Genomic DNA, 17691 nt, shown 5'->3' on the forward strand with positions numbered 1-17691 from the left:
TCTTTATTATTTCTAATTTTGTTTTTGTCGAGAATGTACTTGGAATTCTTTCAGTAGTTTTGAATTGTTCTAAGTTTGCTTAATGGCCTGACATGGTCTGTCCTGCAGAATGTTCTATGTGCAGTTGAGAAAAATGTGTATTCTGCTGCTTTAAGGTGGGATGTTTTATAGATGTCCTTTAGGTCTAGTTGGTTTAGAACTTCAGGTCTTAGACTTCTTTCTTTGCAGACCATTCTGTCTGGTTGGTCTATCTATTATTGAAAGTGGAGTATTGAAGTCTCGTAACTATTGTTGTTGTATTATCTATTTTTCCCTTCATTTCTATCAGTTTTTGCTTCATGTGTTTTCAAGCTCTGTTAAAATGTATTTTGTTTTGTATCAGCATAGCTATTTGAGCTTTCTTTTGATTATTCTTTGCATAATATTTTTTCCCATTTTTAAATTTTCAGTCTTGTTTATATCAGTAAATTTAAAGTGTGTCTCCTGTACACAGCATACACAGCAGTTGGATTTTGTTTTTTTTAATCCAATCTGAAAATCTATTCCTTTTTTGGATTGCTTAATCTGTTCACATTGAGTTTTATTACTGATATAGTTGGATTTGCAGCTGCCATTTTAATTTTTGTTTTCTGTGTCTTGTGTCTTTGTTTTCTCTTCTTTTACTGCTTCCTTTTGTATCATGTGAATTTTTTCTAATGTGGCATTTTAATTTTTTAAAGATTTCATATATATACACATGTATGTATGTATGTGTACATGTATATATATGTATATTTATATAGCGAGAGAGAGAGATTTTCTTAGTGTTTGCTGGGGCTTTCCATATACGTATTATTAGAATAAGCTTTAGGTTTACACTGACTGAATTCCAGTGTGATATAGAGGTGTTATTTCTGTATAGCTCTATTCTATTTTCTCTCTTTTTATGGTTATACATATTACATCTATAAATGTTACAAATCCAGCAATACATTATTATGATTAATACTTTATGTACTTTTTATTGCTTTTTGAAAATTTTTTATTACTTTTTGAAAATCATTTATGGTTTTTTTTTGTTTTTTTGTTTTTTGAGATGAAGTCTCACTCTGTCGCCCAGGCAGCCTGGAGTGCAGTGACACAATCTCAGCTCAGGGCAACCTCCGCCTCCCAGGTTCAAGTGATTCTCCTGCCTCAGCCTCCCAAGTAGCTGGGATTACAGGCTCACGCCACCACACCCAGCTAATTTTTTGTATTTTTAGTAGAGACAGTGTTTCACCATGTTGGCCAGACTGATGTCAAACTCCTAACCTCAGGTAATCCAGCTGCCTCAGCCTCCCAAAGTGCTGGGATTATAGGCGTGAGCCACCATGCCTGGCCACTTTTTATTACTTTTAAAGCTTATAGAAGAAAGGAAAGCCAGTGTGTATATATAGCTTTTGTTATATTAACCTTCTTATTTATCATTTTTGGTTCTATTTGTTCCTGTGGATTCATGTTACTACCTGGAGTTACTGCCTTAACCTTAAACAGTTTTGCTCCCACCTACTTCCATTATGTTGTTACTGCCAAGATACTATATTTTGGTATGTTACAGGCTCAATAATATAATGTATACATATTGTTTTATACAACTGCTTTTTAAATCATTGAAGAGAAAAAGACATTTATTTCTATCTTTTATAATTATATAATTACCTTTACCAGTGTTCTTTATTTTATTATGTAGTTTAAAATAAATGTCTAGTATTACTTGATTTTAGCCTGCAGAACTTCTTTTTGTGTTTCTTGTAAGGTGGATCTGCCAGAAACAGATTTTCTCAGTTTTTAGTCTATCTGAAAATGTCTTTATTTTGCCTTCATTTTTGAAAGGTAACTTTGCTGGATATAGGATTCTTGGTTAACAGTTGTTTGTTTTTTTCTTTGAATATGTCAACTCATTGCTTTCTGGCCTCCATTGTTTCTGCTGAGAAGTTTTTGCTGTTAGTCTTGTTGAAGTTCCCTTGTAAGAGATTAATCTTTTTTTCTCTTGCTGCTTTAAGATTTTCTCTTTTTGATTTGGCTTTCCACATTTTTATTATGATAAATGTATCTGCATAGAAAGTGACCAAACTTCTTTGCCTTTATCCTACTTGTACTTTATTGAATTTTATGGCTATGTAGATGAATTTTTTTTTCCAGTAAATTTTGAGAAGTTTTCAGCCACTATTTCTGTTTTTGTTTTGTCATTTTTAGAGACAGGGTCTCACTCTGTTACCTAGGTTAGAGTGCAGTGGTGCAATCATGGCTTACTGCAGCCTCAAACTCCTGAGCTCAAGCAATCCTTCCACCTCAGCCTCCTGAGTAGCTGGGACTACAGGTGTGCACCACCATGCCTGGCTAACTTTAAACAATTTTTGTAGAGACCAGGTCTCATTACATTGCCCAGGCTGGTTTCAAACTTCTAGGCTCAAGCAATCCTCCCGCCTTGGTCTCTCAAAGTCCTGGGATTACATTTGTGAACCACTGTGCCCAGGCCATTATTTCTTTGAATATTTTTCTACTTCTTTTTCTAAACCTCTCCCCTGGAACTTCCATTATGGGTATGTTGCACTTAATGGTGTCCTATATTTCTCTGAGGCTTGGTTCATTTTTATTTGTTTGTTCTTGCTCTGTTCTTGGGATTGCATAATCTCCATCAATAGTCTATCTTCAGATTCACTGTTGATATTATCTGCTAGTTCAGATCTACTGTTGGGCTCCTCTAGTAATTTTCCTCACTTCGGTAAATAGACTTTGAAACTCTAAAATTTGCTTTTGGTTTCTTTTTGTACTTTCTGTTTCTTCATCGATATGTTCTGTTTGATACAACATTGTTATTGTACCTTTTACTTCATTAATTGTGATTTCCCTTGATTCTTTGAATATATTTATAGTGGCAACTTTTAAGTCTCTTTAGCCTAACATCTGGTCACTATTACAGGCAAATTCTGTTGCCTACATTTTTCCCTGTTCTATGGGTCATAACTTTCCTGTTTCTTTGCATGTCTCTTTTTTGATAATATATTGTAGTAACTCTAGGTATTCCCCTCCCTGCCTCCACCTCTTGCAGGCCACTGTTGTTATTTCCTTGTTTATTTGTTTAGTGTCGGGCTGGATTATTTGATTGTAAGTCTCTGTCCTGTCTACCTCTTACCCCCTATAGTATGTAGCCTTTTAGTTTGTTTCTGGGGTAGAGTTGGGGGTCACAGCCTTGGTTATGCCCACAGTCACCCTGAGATGACAATGGTTTGGACAGGGGTCTCTGTGACTTTACCTTTCTCTGGGCATACCCAGGAGCTCTGTTAGCAGGAGGGCTCCTCCCACTATCATTTTTAAAACCAGGTTCTCTTCTGCAAACTATCTGCTGTACAATTTAGCCTATATCTCCAATGAATACAGATCTACCAGTTGCATTTCACCACAACCTCTGCTGTTTCTGAAAGTTATCTTAGTCTTGAATTTCCTCAGGCTCTGTTACAAATAAAATCTGGTCCTTTGGGAAGATATTAAGAGTTGTCTGTTTTAAGGCATATTTCTTCACCCAGGCAAAGTCTCTGAGTCAAAATTCTAAAGCTGGGGGTGGGGAGAATGCACACTTTTCTCTGAGTAACATCACTGCTTTAGAAGCAGGGGCATAGGTGGAGGGTTGGGGTGTAGCCTCAGGTATTTTCATCTTGCCTCTCCCAACATGGACCCATTGCCTTATAAACCAGGGGAAGGGCTGTTGGGGCCCTTTTTCTCAGGAGCACCACACCAAGATAGAGCCTCTGGCCAACCAGTAGAGGCTAGGTGAACGAAGGGGAGCCTCTACCTTTCAGCCTTACTTGCAGAGGACTTAGCAGCAGCAACAGGTAGGTGGGAGGAGAATGAGAAATGTTGACATCCTGCCCCTCCTAAAAGCCCTTTCCAAGCAAGAGCTGCAGGGATACTGAGCCCTTCTGTATTTTTGGCTTCACCAGTCTGGAGTTTCTGTTTCAGTGAAGTGGGAAGAGTGAGGAAGGGAGTGATCTTTTTTCAGATATCAAAGACTTTACTGAATTTTAGATTTTTTTTTGGACTAGATCTTTCTTTATTTGATATATTCTCTTAGGACTGTTTCCAGAAAATTTAAATGATTGGTTTTTCATAATTTTCTTCAGTTGCTGGGGAGCAGGCTTGTGGATCACATGGTAGTCAGTCAAAGGTTCAGGAGAGAAAAATTATAGCTAACATAGTTACAAGTACGCATACACACACAAAAGACATATTTTTAAAAAATTACTTGCCTCTTTTGATCCTAAATTCATTTCTGTGACTGCCTAACTATAAAGGTAGAATCAGTTGATGAGAGTTCTTTTAGGCAAAGATAGAATGAGGACTAGAGAGGAACACATTCATTTTTTTCTGTTTCTATTGATGGTGAAACTAATTTTTCCATTGCACTACCTGAATTTGTTCACTAAAAATGTGAAGTACATTTTTATTAATTTTGGGATCTAGGTCAGAATACAAATCCAAAGATTTTTGTGGCCAATAGAGCTTGCCAGAGGCAGAGGGAGTATCCAAACCGACGAAGAAAACTGTTAGAAGCATTTTAAATAAATAAAAATGTAATTGTAATTGTCAATGTTATTTTAAATTGCTTGTTTCTTTGCATTCTACAAGCTCGGGATTACCAAATTATGTTTTAATTAGGTAATTTCAGTTTATAGCAAGAAATTAGCCACACTTTAAAAGGAATAAAGAGAAGCTAGGAAAAAGAAGTTCAGTTATACTGTTAGGAAGTAAAAATTAGGACTTAAAAACAAAAATCTAAATTAAGATAATAGAACACTTAACTAGTTTTTTTATCTGAAAGTGGACATTGATCCATCTTTACAGAGTGCAAAACTAGAGTAAGTTAGCTGAGAAAAAATTTATAATCTTAGGAAATACTTTTAACAGCAAAATTTTCATTTAATGTTACAATTTAGAAGGCTTCCTATTGTGTTTCCATAGTAACACTTGAGAATATTTCCATAATGCTATAAGTTGGTTTTAGTAGCTCTGCAAAAATAGATGATTATGTATGATATACTTGAGTTATAATAGTCACTTCTGTGATTGTTATATCTTACAGAGAATATTAAATTTATTAATCTACAAAATTGGAACCAAATCCAACAACAGAGTTATCTAGAAACATTAAAGATTGCTCATACGCCTGTGGGGTTTTTTTGTCCAGATACTCACATCTTCCTAACACCTTGGAGCTAATTCATCTATCACATTGTGTTATGCATCTTATTCAGAGGGTTTTTTTCCTCCTCTGTAAAGCTAATGTGATAATCCTTGAGTCTTCTTATAATCATTGACTCCTTAGGAAGACTTGATAGTTGATCATAGCTATTTGTTTAGCTCATTGTTTGTAAAACTCATTTCATAATGACTGAACATAATCTTTGCAGATAAAAATAATCTAATCAAACTATCTTCATTTTTGCTTTGTGTTTAAACTAAGGAATGTTTTGCAGCTTCCTTTAAAATAACCACATTTTGAACTAATGTATGATGAGAAAAAGTTTTTCTTTCGTATTGGAAAAATAGAGTGTATGCTTTCTTTGAGGAAATTTGAACTCAATGATTTAAAACAATTGTGATTTCTTTTTTCTTCAGCATTTGGAAATATGTTTTATTCTTGTTAAACAGTTGGTAGTTTATTGCAGAAATAGATTGTAGAAATGGATTCGTTGTCATTTATTGACAGATTTTCACTTTTTTAATAGGAACTGTCCTGGGTGGAGTCCACATAGTCAAGTCTTTGCTGTATAACTTTCCTTTTGTATATTTTATGCAAAACAGATTATTTAAATATTTTATTTAAAAATGCGGCATTCTGTACTGAAAAAATATCTTCTGTTATTGCTTCAAAGATGCTACTCAAACATACATTATCATAGTGCAGAAGTTGTGAGATCTTAGTAGTTGTTAGATCTTCAGAATTATAGTTTTATTACAGAATATTAAAGACTAAAAGACAATAAAAATTGGAACCACATTATAGAAATGCTAGCATAATAAGCAATAAAATAATCTATTCTCAATCTATTATGTTAGAGTGATTTGAAGATGCAAATTAATTTTCTGACACTGAAAATTTTAGTTTCTTAACATTATTAGAAACATTCTGTGACACACTTGACAGTGCTTGTACTATTAAATTAGAATTTATAAATATAAAGTTATTTCTGTGTTTTCTCATCCAATGGAACATGTTGAATCCAGAGAGACAGTTTTCATTTCATAAAATAAGTATGTATTACACAGTTTGTGTCAGTCATAATGCTAAATGCTGAGAAAATAGTTCCTATACAGATGGAACTTAAAATTTATGGGCCAGTTTCTTAAGAATGAATGAACATCTTCTGTTTTGTTTTTTAGCCTAACTCTGGTGAACTGGATCCTTTGTATGTAGTAGAAGTACTTCTGCGCTGTAGCAAAGAGAGCTTGAAAAATTCAGCTACAGAAGCTGCAAAACCAGCTAAACCTGATGAGAAAGGAGAGATGCAGGTTTGTACATAACTTTCTGTCTTCTGATTTCAGATATTCTGTAACTTATTTGTCATCACCAAAGTTCTCCAATGTGATGGTAATGAACATACTATCATGATTTCTAAATTAGAAGTTTTCAAGGTATTTTAAGGTATATTAGTAAAGCTATCTAACGTATCAGTAGGATAATTAATGAGATTTGTTTTTATTTTTCTTTTATCAAATTACAACAAGATAAATCGTGACAAAGTGAAAGAAAAAGTATTCAGTCATTGAAATTTTACATGAAGCTGGATTTTGCCAGGGCCATAAAGATTTTTCATTATCCTTGCTTGTGACTGAGTGATTTTACAGTTTGAATCCATTCATGCTGTTTATTTCCCATTCCCATGGAAATAGAGGCAGTCCTGATTTAGGATTTTTAGACTTTACAGTAGTGCAAAAGTAATACATTAATGAGATATTTAACATTTATTACAAAATAGGGTTTGTGTTAGATGATTTTGCCCAAATGTAAGCCAGTGTAAGTGTTCTTAGCACATTTAAGGTAAACTACACCAAGTTATGTTTGGTACATTAGGTGTTCATGTATTAAATACATTTTTGACCTAACGATATTTTCTACTTACAACTAGTTTATCAGAACATAACCCAATTTTAAGGAGGAGGCTCTGTAATGACTGAAGCATTATTTTAACAATGAAAAATTTCTACCCAAGTTTCCTTAGTTAAAATCATTTAATTTACATGTGCTTCTAATTGAATGTAAAATATGGCGTATTGGATAGGTCTTTTACAAAATGTCATTGTAATGATATTTGTTATTATAAGCATGGTTTGTAGAAAGTAAAATCTGCCACTGTAGTATCATAGACTGCTTCTTTGGATCAATAAATTATTATGGGTTTTGGAGTTGGCAGTATTTTTAAAAAGACAATTCACTGTAACATTTTTAAATGACGATTTAAATGTTTATTTATAATTCTGAATATTACCTAAACTTTGGTCTCCTTTTCTTAGTATTCTAATTTGTTCACCTCTAGAATTCCACCACCAAGTGAAACTTGTGTGATTTTTATTTTTTTCTAACATTTATTTTACTGATTGACTGCCTAACTATAAATAAGGCTAAAACTCCCACAGTTAGGCATATACTCTTTGTCCCCAAAGGGCCTTTAGGAGTTGTTGCAAGTTGGAATAGCAAATATGTGCCACACATCTCAACATTCTCCCTTTCTCATGGCAGACATTGATAGTAAGTCATAGCACTCTTACACTGAAAGCTCAGATTCTTCCAAGAAAATTATATAGGCAGTCATGAAACCAAGGCAAACTGAGGGCCTTTCCTCTGCTCCTGTAGCATTTTTTGTTATGTTTATTTCAGTCTACGCTGCTAAGGAAATTGGCAAGGGGTGGGGGGTTGTTAACATGAATTTTACAGATACTCTGTGACTTTAAGGGGATGCAGCTTAATAAGGAAGCATTTTGTGCTTCAAAACTGCTCAGGGTGGGTAATTAGTAAAGCTTTATAAAGGAAGTAGTGAGATTTTAACAAACTTGTAGGAACATGAGTACCTTTACAGACAAGAATTATATTCCTAGCAAGGGAAGCCATATGTACAGAGCATGAAACCCCCTCTTTAGAAAGAACTTCACATTTTTCTGTTCCTTGTGGTTAATGACAAAAGGCATGAAACAATGTACAGAGAGAGGGACTATAGGTTAAGAAACCATATTATATATATTTACATATAATTATATATGTTTTATAAATATATTGTTTGCCTTGTAGATTATCTTGAATAGAAATCCTAGACAGAGAAATAGTTATGTGGGCAGTTTATAAGGAAATATTAGCTCTCAACTTCATTGATTGTGTAGCATTATTCAGGGTAGGTTAAAAGCAGGCTTCCATTGCATAAGGTAAGTAGGATTTCCATAATCATCCTTGCCCTGTCTGACTTTGAGTGGATATGATGCCAAATTTAGCTTTTTATCAGCGTTTATAGAAGACTACTTTCTTTTTTCTTTTTTTTTGAGATGGAGTCTCGCTCTGTCACCAGGCTGGAGTACAGTGGCACAATCTTGGCTCACTACCACCTCTGCCTCCTGGGTCCAAGTGATTCTCCTGCCTCAACCTCCCGAGTAGCTGGGACTACAGGTGTTCGCCGCCGTGCCCGGCTAATTTTTGTATTTTTACTAGAGACTGGGTTTCACCATGTTGGCCAGGATGGTCTTGATCTCCTGACCTCATGATATGCCTGTCTCAGCCTCCCAAAGTGCTGGGATTACGTGCATGAGCCACCGCACCTGGCCTTGAAGACTACTTTCTGAAGTGACTTTTCCTTGTATCTATAATATTCTTGAACTTACTTTTCTAAAAAAGGCTTAGAGTGTGTGTGTGTCTGTGTGTAGAGGGCAAGAGCACTCCAGCTCTGAATTACATTGATTAACAGAGGTGAACAGTTTAGTGTGTTCTAAAGATCACTTGCAGTTTTGACACTGTTGCTTTGCCAGCTCCCATGTGTCTGACCATTTCCCCTTATCATGGCCACGTCATGATAGTTAAATGAGACTCAGCGTCAGGGAGTGAAGATAAGGGAGTTCTGTTTTGTTTTTCTAGACCAGGAACTAGGTGGAATCATTCCTCATTAGATAAAAACATCTATAAAAGGACATGGAATAGAAGATTACAGATTAGAACTGTACACTTATAAAAATTTGAGGATTAAGATACCAGTACTTGTCATGGAATAATATTTGCTGTTTTGGCAGGTTTCAAGTTTACCTTGAAGATGTTCTATGGAAATCAGATTTTTTGAGGGGGTCAACTTTGAACGTATTTTAAATTGCTGATTTAAACCCTTTGTCTATTAAGTCAAATTTCTTGGCTTCCTCAGGATATTTTCTATTAATTACTATTTTTCTCTGTGTATAGGTCATACTTTATTAATTTCTTTACATGTCTCATAATTTTTCATTGAAAATTGGACATTTTAAATAATGTAGTGAGATGGATTAGGGATCCTTCCTTTAGAGTGCACCTAGCTTAGACCTAAAAAATAAATAAACAAGGCTGGGTATAGTGGCTCATGCTTATAATCCCAGCACTTTGGGAGACTGAGGTGGGAGGATTGCTTGAGCCCAGGAGTTCAAGACCAGCCTGGGGCAACATAGTGAAACCCTGTCTGTACAAAAATAAATAAATAACAATTAGCCAGGCATGGTGGCATGTGCGTGTAGTCCCTGCTGTTTTGGAGGCTGAAGTGGGAGGATCGTTTGAGCCCAGGAGGTTAGGGCTGCAGTGAGCCGTGACCATGCCACTGCACTCCAGCCTGAGCAACAGAGCAAGACCCTCTCTCAAAAAAATCAATCTCTTTGTCTAAAAAAACATAGTAGAGTTGAGCTTGTTTTATTCCCTATAAAAACTAAAAATAACATCTTCACATATGTCCCTAAATTATTTTTCAAAAACTCAGACATACACCAAACAGATATACTGGCACATAAGCCTCAAATAAGGAGGAACAGAGGACTAAAACTCTGACTGCTGTTCTTTGTTCTAAATTTCTTCCTGAGGGGCCTAAAAGAGCCAGAATGAACATTTTTTTCTACTGATCCCAAATTTTTAGACAAAACTTCTCCTTAACCAATTACAAATCAAAAATCTTTAAATCCACCTATAACCTGTGGGCCCCTGATTTGAGATGTCCTGCCTTTTTAAATCAAACCAGTATATAACCTCCATATATTGATTTATAACTGCTGTAACTTCTGCCTTCCTGCCCTTAGAAACCCTTAACCTGTAAGCCATCTGGAAGGTCAGGACTTAAATATTAACTACCTAATCCTCCTTGCTTGGCACCCTACAAATAAACACCTTCCTTTCTCCCACTACAAACCTCAGTGTAGATATCTGGTCTTACTGCAGCAGGCAAGCGGGCCCCAGTTTGGTTCTCTAACAGTAGCAACTCTGTAAATCGGAATTTTCCTGCACCCCCAGAGTTTATTCTTGTTATTTGTTGTCACTGGTTTGTGTTGTCATTTCTGAATTATTTTAAGTCTATATTTTTTAATTGTGTGTGGCCACCAAGGTCTCTGCTTGGTTAGTTTAATGGTCAGCTCATAATTGTGCAGAGACTTCCTTAAATGCCTGCAATCATTAAGTTCTCCTGTCTGGCCAGGCATGGTGGCTCATGCCATAATCCCAGCACTTTGAGGGGCTGACGTGGGTAGATGACTTGAGGTCAGGAGTTCGAGACCAGCCTGGCCAACGTGGCCAAAACCCATCTGTACTAAAAATACAAAAATTAGCTGGCATGATGGTGTGCGCTGGTAGCTTCAGCTATTCGAGAGGCTGAGGCAGGAGACTTACTTGAACCCAGGAGGTAGAGGTTGCAGTGAGCCAAGATTGTGTCACTTCACTTCAGCCTGGGTGACAGAGAAGGGCTCTGTCTAAAAAAAAAAAAAAAAAAAAAAATTCCCCAGTCTTTACTTAGAGGCTTTGTATGCATATTGCAGCAAGCCATCAACCCTCAGCTAGGCAGTTAACAACATTACCTTAGCCGCTTCCTGGATGTACAGTTTCATGGTCAGACAGAAGTGAGAGCTTAGAGTCTTTTCAGGTCTTTCTTGACTATGCACACAGCCCTGTACATGGCCTTCTAGATTTCCAGAAATGTGTGGGAGCTTTTCTAATTCCCCATGAATGTCTTACTCCCCAGCCTTTCCTTTTAAGCTTTCTGGTTAACCTGTTGTTTCTCCCAGCTGTCATTCACAACCTCAGGCAGCCATGGTGTTAAGCAGTTGCTTCTTACTATTTTTGACAAACACAGCCAGGAAAAAGGTTTGCACTGGTAAGCTCTCAGTCAGGTCAAATAAAAAACAGCCTTGTGAATGGAGTCTTCCGGGGAACCACCAGACTGCAATAATGACAATTCTATGGAAATAGGCCTTCAAAGAGGTTCCAGCCCTATTCTCTCCCCTCCAGTGGCTGCCATACTGGTTTTCAGTGGGATTTGCTCTTTGATTTTCAGGCTATTAGGAAGCTAAGGAGTGGGAGATGGAGTAGGATAAGTTAAATTTGCCACAAAGCTTGTTATTCTTACCAAAAGTCAGCATTTTTCTTGAATATATGCTCCCTGGATTCCTGCAAGCCTTTGGTTAATTTCCAGAATTTTGAAGAAGTTGATTTTGACAAGTTTTCTCAGTGTTGGCATTGCTTTTATGGAGAAAAGGATTTTTGGAGGTCCTTACTCCACCATTTTCACTGACACAAATCCAGTTTTTTAATTGCAAATTAATCAATAGCACATTGGTTAAAATAACTGTGTGTGCCATGACTTGATTAAAATTCAGTTGGTTCAAAAAACAACTTGCTTGTTGAATGAAAAATTCAAAAACCATATTTTGTTTCAGGTGATAGTCTTGATTTGAAGAAATTATATAGCTTGAAATGTATTTAGAATGTATTGACTTAAAACTTGCTTCTTATATTGTCTACCACATTTGCTTATTTAGGGGAAAATTAAAAAGATTTAAAAGGTCTAAGGATAAAAATACTTCCTGTTATTGGTATTCTAGCAAGTTTCCACTGATTGCTCACATGGTTATTTGGACTTACAAAGACCAGTGCTGCATCATGTTGAACCTGAATTCTGAGTTATATCATGAAGGTAATTAGGTTTAGAAAATTGAATAAACTGCCATATGCAAATATTATGATGTTTTTAAATATCTGAAATTTGATATTTATAATTTCATGACAACTATTCATTCAATTTTTAAACATTTAACTTCTTGTTTATAAAATGTCATGTTTCTAGTTAGGGAACTCTTAGGATTTCCCTTTTCTGTGCTTTAGGAGGCATTTATAGAATGGCCTTTGTAATCTGTTTCCTGTCATTAAAGTGTTAGTTGACCATTTCTTGGATGGAGTTTATTATGGAAAGCAGCCTTTGAAATAGGACAGTTTTTGTCTTCTTTCTGAATCTCGTCTTCACAAAATAGTGTTACTCTGTTTTGAAGGAAATTCACAGATACCTGTGCATATTGAATTCGACTACAGGTATATAAAAATACTCTTTCTAAAGCCAAGTGAATTATTTTTAATTTTTCTACCTTTTTAGATGTAGTTAAGTGCATACAAATTGTGCATCTTTCACTCTGGATGTCGGCTATGTGGTATTGATAATTTTTCATGTCCTGAGTCTTCTCTGTCCAAACAGTGCATCAACTGCTGGTTCACAAATTGGTGGCCCAAGACCCAATGCAGCTTACAGAATGTTGTTTCTAAAATGAATTAGACCAGCAGTCCCCAGTCTTTTTGGCACAAGAAACTGGTTTTGTGGAAGATAGTTTTTCCATGGACCAGTGTGGAGCAGGGGTGGTTTGGGGATGAAACTGTCCCACCTCAGGTCATCAGACCTTAGATTCTCATAACGACCAGGCGACCTAGATCCCTTGCATGTGCCATGTTTGCACTGGTATGAGAATCTAATGCTGCTGCTGATCTGACAAGAGGGGGAGTTCAGGCAGTAATGCTCTCTCCCCCACCACTCTTGCTGCATGGCCTGGTTCTTAACAGGCCACAGACTGGTACCATCCCGGGGCTTGGGGACCCCTGAATTAGCCAGTTTGGAAGTAAAAATAAAAATGATAGTAAAGGGCCGGGCGTGGTGGCTCACACCTGTAATCCCAGCATTTTGGGAGGCAAAGGCGGGCAGATCACCTGAGGTCAGGAGTTTAAGACCAGCCTGTCTAACATGGTGTAACCCCATCTCTACTAAAAATACAGAAATTAGCCAGGCATGGTGGCAGGTGCCTGTAGTCCCAGCTACTCGGGAGGCTGAGGCAGTTGAATCACTTGAACCCAGGAGGCGGAGATTGCAGTGAACCGAGATCGCACCGCTGCACTCCAGCCTGGGTGGCAGAGCAAGAATCCATCTCAAAAAAAAAAAAGATAGTAAAGGATTTATAACCATATGAAAATAAAATAATCCATGCATCCAGAGAGAGATATATAAAATATAAAGGAAATGGCTGGCCGTGGTGGCTCACGCCTTTAATCCCAGCACTGTGGGAGGCTGAGATGGGTGGATCACTTGAGGTCAGGAGTTCGAGACCAGCCTGATCAACATGGCGAAACCCCGTCTCTACTAAAAATATAAAAATTAGTTGGGCATGGTGGCACACGCCTATAATCCCAGCTACTCAGGAGGCTGAGGCAGAAAAATTGCTTGAACCCGGGAGGTAGAGATTTCAGTGAGCCGAGATCATGCCATTGCACTCCAGCCTGGGCGACAGAGCAAGACTCTGTCTCAAAAAATAAAATAAATAAAATAAAATAAAAGTTAGAAAAGTCACCATTAGGCAACTACCACAAATAGTAATTTACTATGGCAAGAATCATCCGTGGATGCTGAAACTGGCAAACTGAAAGTTTAATGAAGAAAGGATATTTACAAAGTCTCTAAAGGCTCTCCCTACAAATTTCTTAATTGTAGAGAGTAAAATAGTAAATAATACTATAATAAAGAATCCTGCAGATAGCACCTTAATTGAATGATCAAAGTGATCAACATTATCTCTAATAATGTTGACTAGTGGACTGAGTAGAACAGAACATGACTTCCACCAAAAATGGATAATCTGAATCTTATGATTCCTCATAACTAGAGAAACCCAAACTGAGACTCATTTTATAAAATAACCTATATTCTTTTTAAAAAATCAAGGTCTTGAGAGACACAGAAAACTGGGGAACTGTTCCAGATTAAAGAAGAAAGAAATGTGACATCAATGCATGATCCTAGTTTGGTTCCATGGAGTAGTGGTGGGGAAGGTACAGTGGTATAAAAGACATTATTGTGAAAGAGGACGAAATCTTAATATGGACTACAGATTAGATGATATCATTGTCTCGACATTAGATTTTCCTCTTTTAATACTTGTACTTTATGTGTGTAGAAAGAGAACGATGAAGCAAATAGGCAAAATATAACTAATTAGTGAATTGAAATAAGGGTATGTGGGATTTATTTCATTCTTACAAGTTTTCTGTAAACTTGGAATTCTGTGAAAATGTCAGTACCATGAAAGAGCAAGAAAGGTGGGGTATATTTTTAGATTAAAGAAGACTAAGGAGACATGACCACTAAATCCAGTTTATGATCCTTGGCTGGACCCTGAATCCAAAAGTATGATGGTAATAGTAATGTATAAAGGTCATTAGTGGGTCAGTGGGGAAATCTGAATAGGGATTGTATATGATATTTCCTTAGATCTTACAACATTATAGCTTTGCAGGAGAATGTGCTTGTTCTTAACATATACATGTATTTGCTGGTCAAGTGAAGTGATGTCTGCAAGTTAATTTCAAATGATTAAAAAAGGAAGAGGAGGAAGAGGCAGGCAGGAAGAAAGAAAAAACACCCCACCCCAAAAACTTTAACTAGAAAGAAAAAAACTGCTGTTAATGGTTTGACAAACTAAACCTTTTTTGGCAAGTTTGGCAAATTATCGAACCTTTCTACCTGTACTAGAAAATCTAGAAAGGTTAGATAATTTGTGCAAGGTCACACAACTAGCTGAAGACTGAGTTCAATCACTGTACCGTTTTTGTTCAGTAAAGCACTGTGAATGTATTTGCTATCAGCAAGCCAGTGAAAATTGTGTTTTCATCAGTGATCAGTGTAAAAGTAGCCATGGAAGACAGATTTGGACCTGTGGAAACATTAACTTTGCCTCAGTTTATAGAGGCTCTCTGGATTCAAGAGCAGTTGAAAGGAAGCAAAATTTGATGTCGATAATGTGCCATTTTGACAAGAGAAAACATGGAAGAAAGTTTGCAGATAGGTGTTCTTCAAGATTATGTCTAATGGAATATGCTGCTTTCTGTCTTTGAAATACTTCTTCATTTCTGCCCATCCAGAACTTACATGAATCTTTCTTGACTTCCTAAACCTGTTAACAAGAGTCTTTCATTCTTAGTACTATAGTACCTTTATGTATTAATATTTTTGAACTGCCAAATATCTGAGACCATAAAAATGAGTAAAGTGTGCATTCTGTATTGAGGGGAGCTCTTATTTTTATGTACCATTTATTTACCTGTTATTTAGAAGTTTGAACTGGTTTTTATTTTTTAAATACAGTCTCTAATAAGAAAAGCTTCAGTGTGGGAGAATGCTTCACGGTGATTATTATGTACTTCTTATACCTGTTACATACCATAAATGCAACTTCCTCTTTAGGGATCCAAGTTTAGGAAATAGTAGAATATGAACATGTGCAAATTTAACTGTAATACTGTATAACTTTTTGGTCATAGGTTGTCCCAGTTTTGGTGCATCTCCTGTCTGCTATCAGCAGTGTTAGGCTTTACATTCCTAAAGACCTTCGGCCGGTGGACAATAGACAGAGTGTTTTAAAATCAATACAGGTATGTGTTAATTTCATAAGTTAAGTATAAATTTTATGTAAATACAGGTAGTGTTTATAAAGAGGCAACTGAAATGCTTTTAAATATATTGCTTTCTTTCAGAATACCTATAAATACTACCAATAGTGACAATTATTTTTCATAAAAATAAAGGCAGCAGACCTTCATGTGGATTTGTACTCTCTTTGAATCTACCAACAAAGTGAGTTAGTAAAGGAGGACTCACAAGGAAAACCATTCTGCTTTATTCATTATGAGTGAAAGCTATAGACTGTATTACAAGTTTTATGTATAAAATCATGTACTGACAGGACATTTAACCATTTTTTAATATAGTTAATAAATACATGAAATTGTTTTATTTTCAATAGGGAAAATTGAGATTTTGTAGTAAATTTAATTTCCTAGTAGAAAAAAGGTGCAGTGGTTCATGCCTGTAATCCCAGCTCTCTGGGATGCCACAGCACAAAGGATCACCAGAGGCCAGGAATTTGAAACCAGCCTGGGCAACATAGTGAGACCCCCATCTCTACAAAAAATGTAAAACTAATTTAAAAAGAAATTAGTAGGACTCAGTGGTATGCATCTATAATCCCAGTTACTCAGGAGGCCAAGGCAGGAGGTTCACTTGATCCCAGGAGTTCCAGGCTCTACAGTAAGCTGTGATCACATCACTGCACTCTAGCATGTGCAACAGAGTGAGAACTTGTCTCTTTTAAGAAAAAAAAAAAAAAACAAGGAAGTGATTTTAACGAAGTTATTTAGTTAGTTAATAGTTTGAAGAGCATTTACTGTGCAGTGAAGGCTCTGTACTAAAATCTGAGAAAGCAAAGATAAGTAGGATGCTTTCAGAGTAGAGTAGGAATTTTTAAGCTGTGTTCCAATGGTGGGCTTCCTGAAATGAGTGATTCTCTGACAGTTTTACAAAATTTTTATGTAGATGTGGATATCTTTTCCAAAACAATCACTCCTAGAAGGTTTTTATCACTATTGGTCTGGTAGTAAATAAATATCTTATAAGTTCATTGAAATTGTTTTTTCTGATATTTTCAGAATAGCACAGTTTTGAGCAGAAATACACATTAATCATTATTAACTTAGCATTAAGTAATGCCATTATTTTGAAAAAACTAATTGTTTTGTACTTCTGGGTTAGGTCAGTTGTCATTTTGCTAAAGTGAAAATTGAAATTAATTTTTCTTTGTCTATTGGCAAATGTCAGGCTTGTCTGTATTTGTCTTAAACATCCCTGTGCTGTATCTGGTGTTGATATATTTCAGCTTTCACATTAATTTCATGATAATCTGAGTCTCAGTTTTGCAACATGTTTTAAACAAAGTTAGACTATTTTTTTCTTGGTTCTTCATAGTCGTTTACATCATTCACCACATAGTGAGAAGCCACAGGAGGAAGAATTGGGGAAATTAGCCTGCCAACAGGACCCTTCACATAATAAATAAAGATTTCCCTTTAGCTACATTAATTATACTTTTTAAACTTCAGAACCGCAATTTTAGTGTTTTCTCTGTTCTGGAACCTCACACCAGTGACTCAGTTTCTTTATATATAAAACTTGGCCAGGCTCGTGTAGGATTTTTGTGCTGACACTAGCCTGCTTTGATTAGGGCAGACATATATCCTGAAACTGTACCATATGCACTTACCAGAGATATCAGTCTTTTGAAAGAGCTTGCCTTATTTGCTCATTTAGGACATAATGTGCAAATGTCTTTGAACCC

The 17691-nt window shown here is 36.2% G+C and overlaps 1 protein-coding gene across 1 annotated transcript in view; it reads left to right on the top strand.

The window, feature by feature from the left end:
• MTREX (Mtr4 exosome RNA helicase) overlaps positions 1–17691 on the top strand; it is a 117591-nt gene that overhangs the window by 73586 nt on the left and 26314 nt on the right. Inside the window, exons 19-20 of the mRNA NM_015360.5 lie at positions 6400–6528; positions 15842–15952. Coding sequence (NP_056175.3) covers positions 6400–6528; positions 15842–15952 — 240 coding nt within the window. The remainder of the gene's footprint in view (positions 1–6399; positions 6529–15841; positions 15953–17691) is intronic.

The sequence above is a fragment of the Homo sapiens genome, chromosome 5 (genome assembly GCF_000001405.40).
Source record: "Homo sapiens chromosome 5, GRCh38.p14 Primary Assembly".
Taxonomy (NCBI): Eukaryota; Metazoa; Chordata; class Mammalia; order Primates; family Hominidae; genus Homo; species Homo sapiens.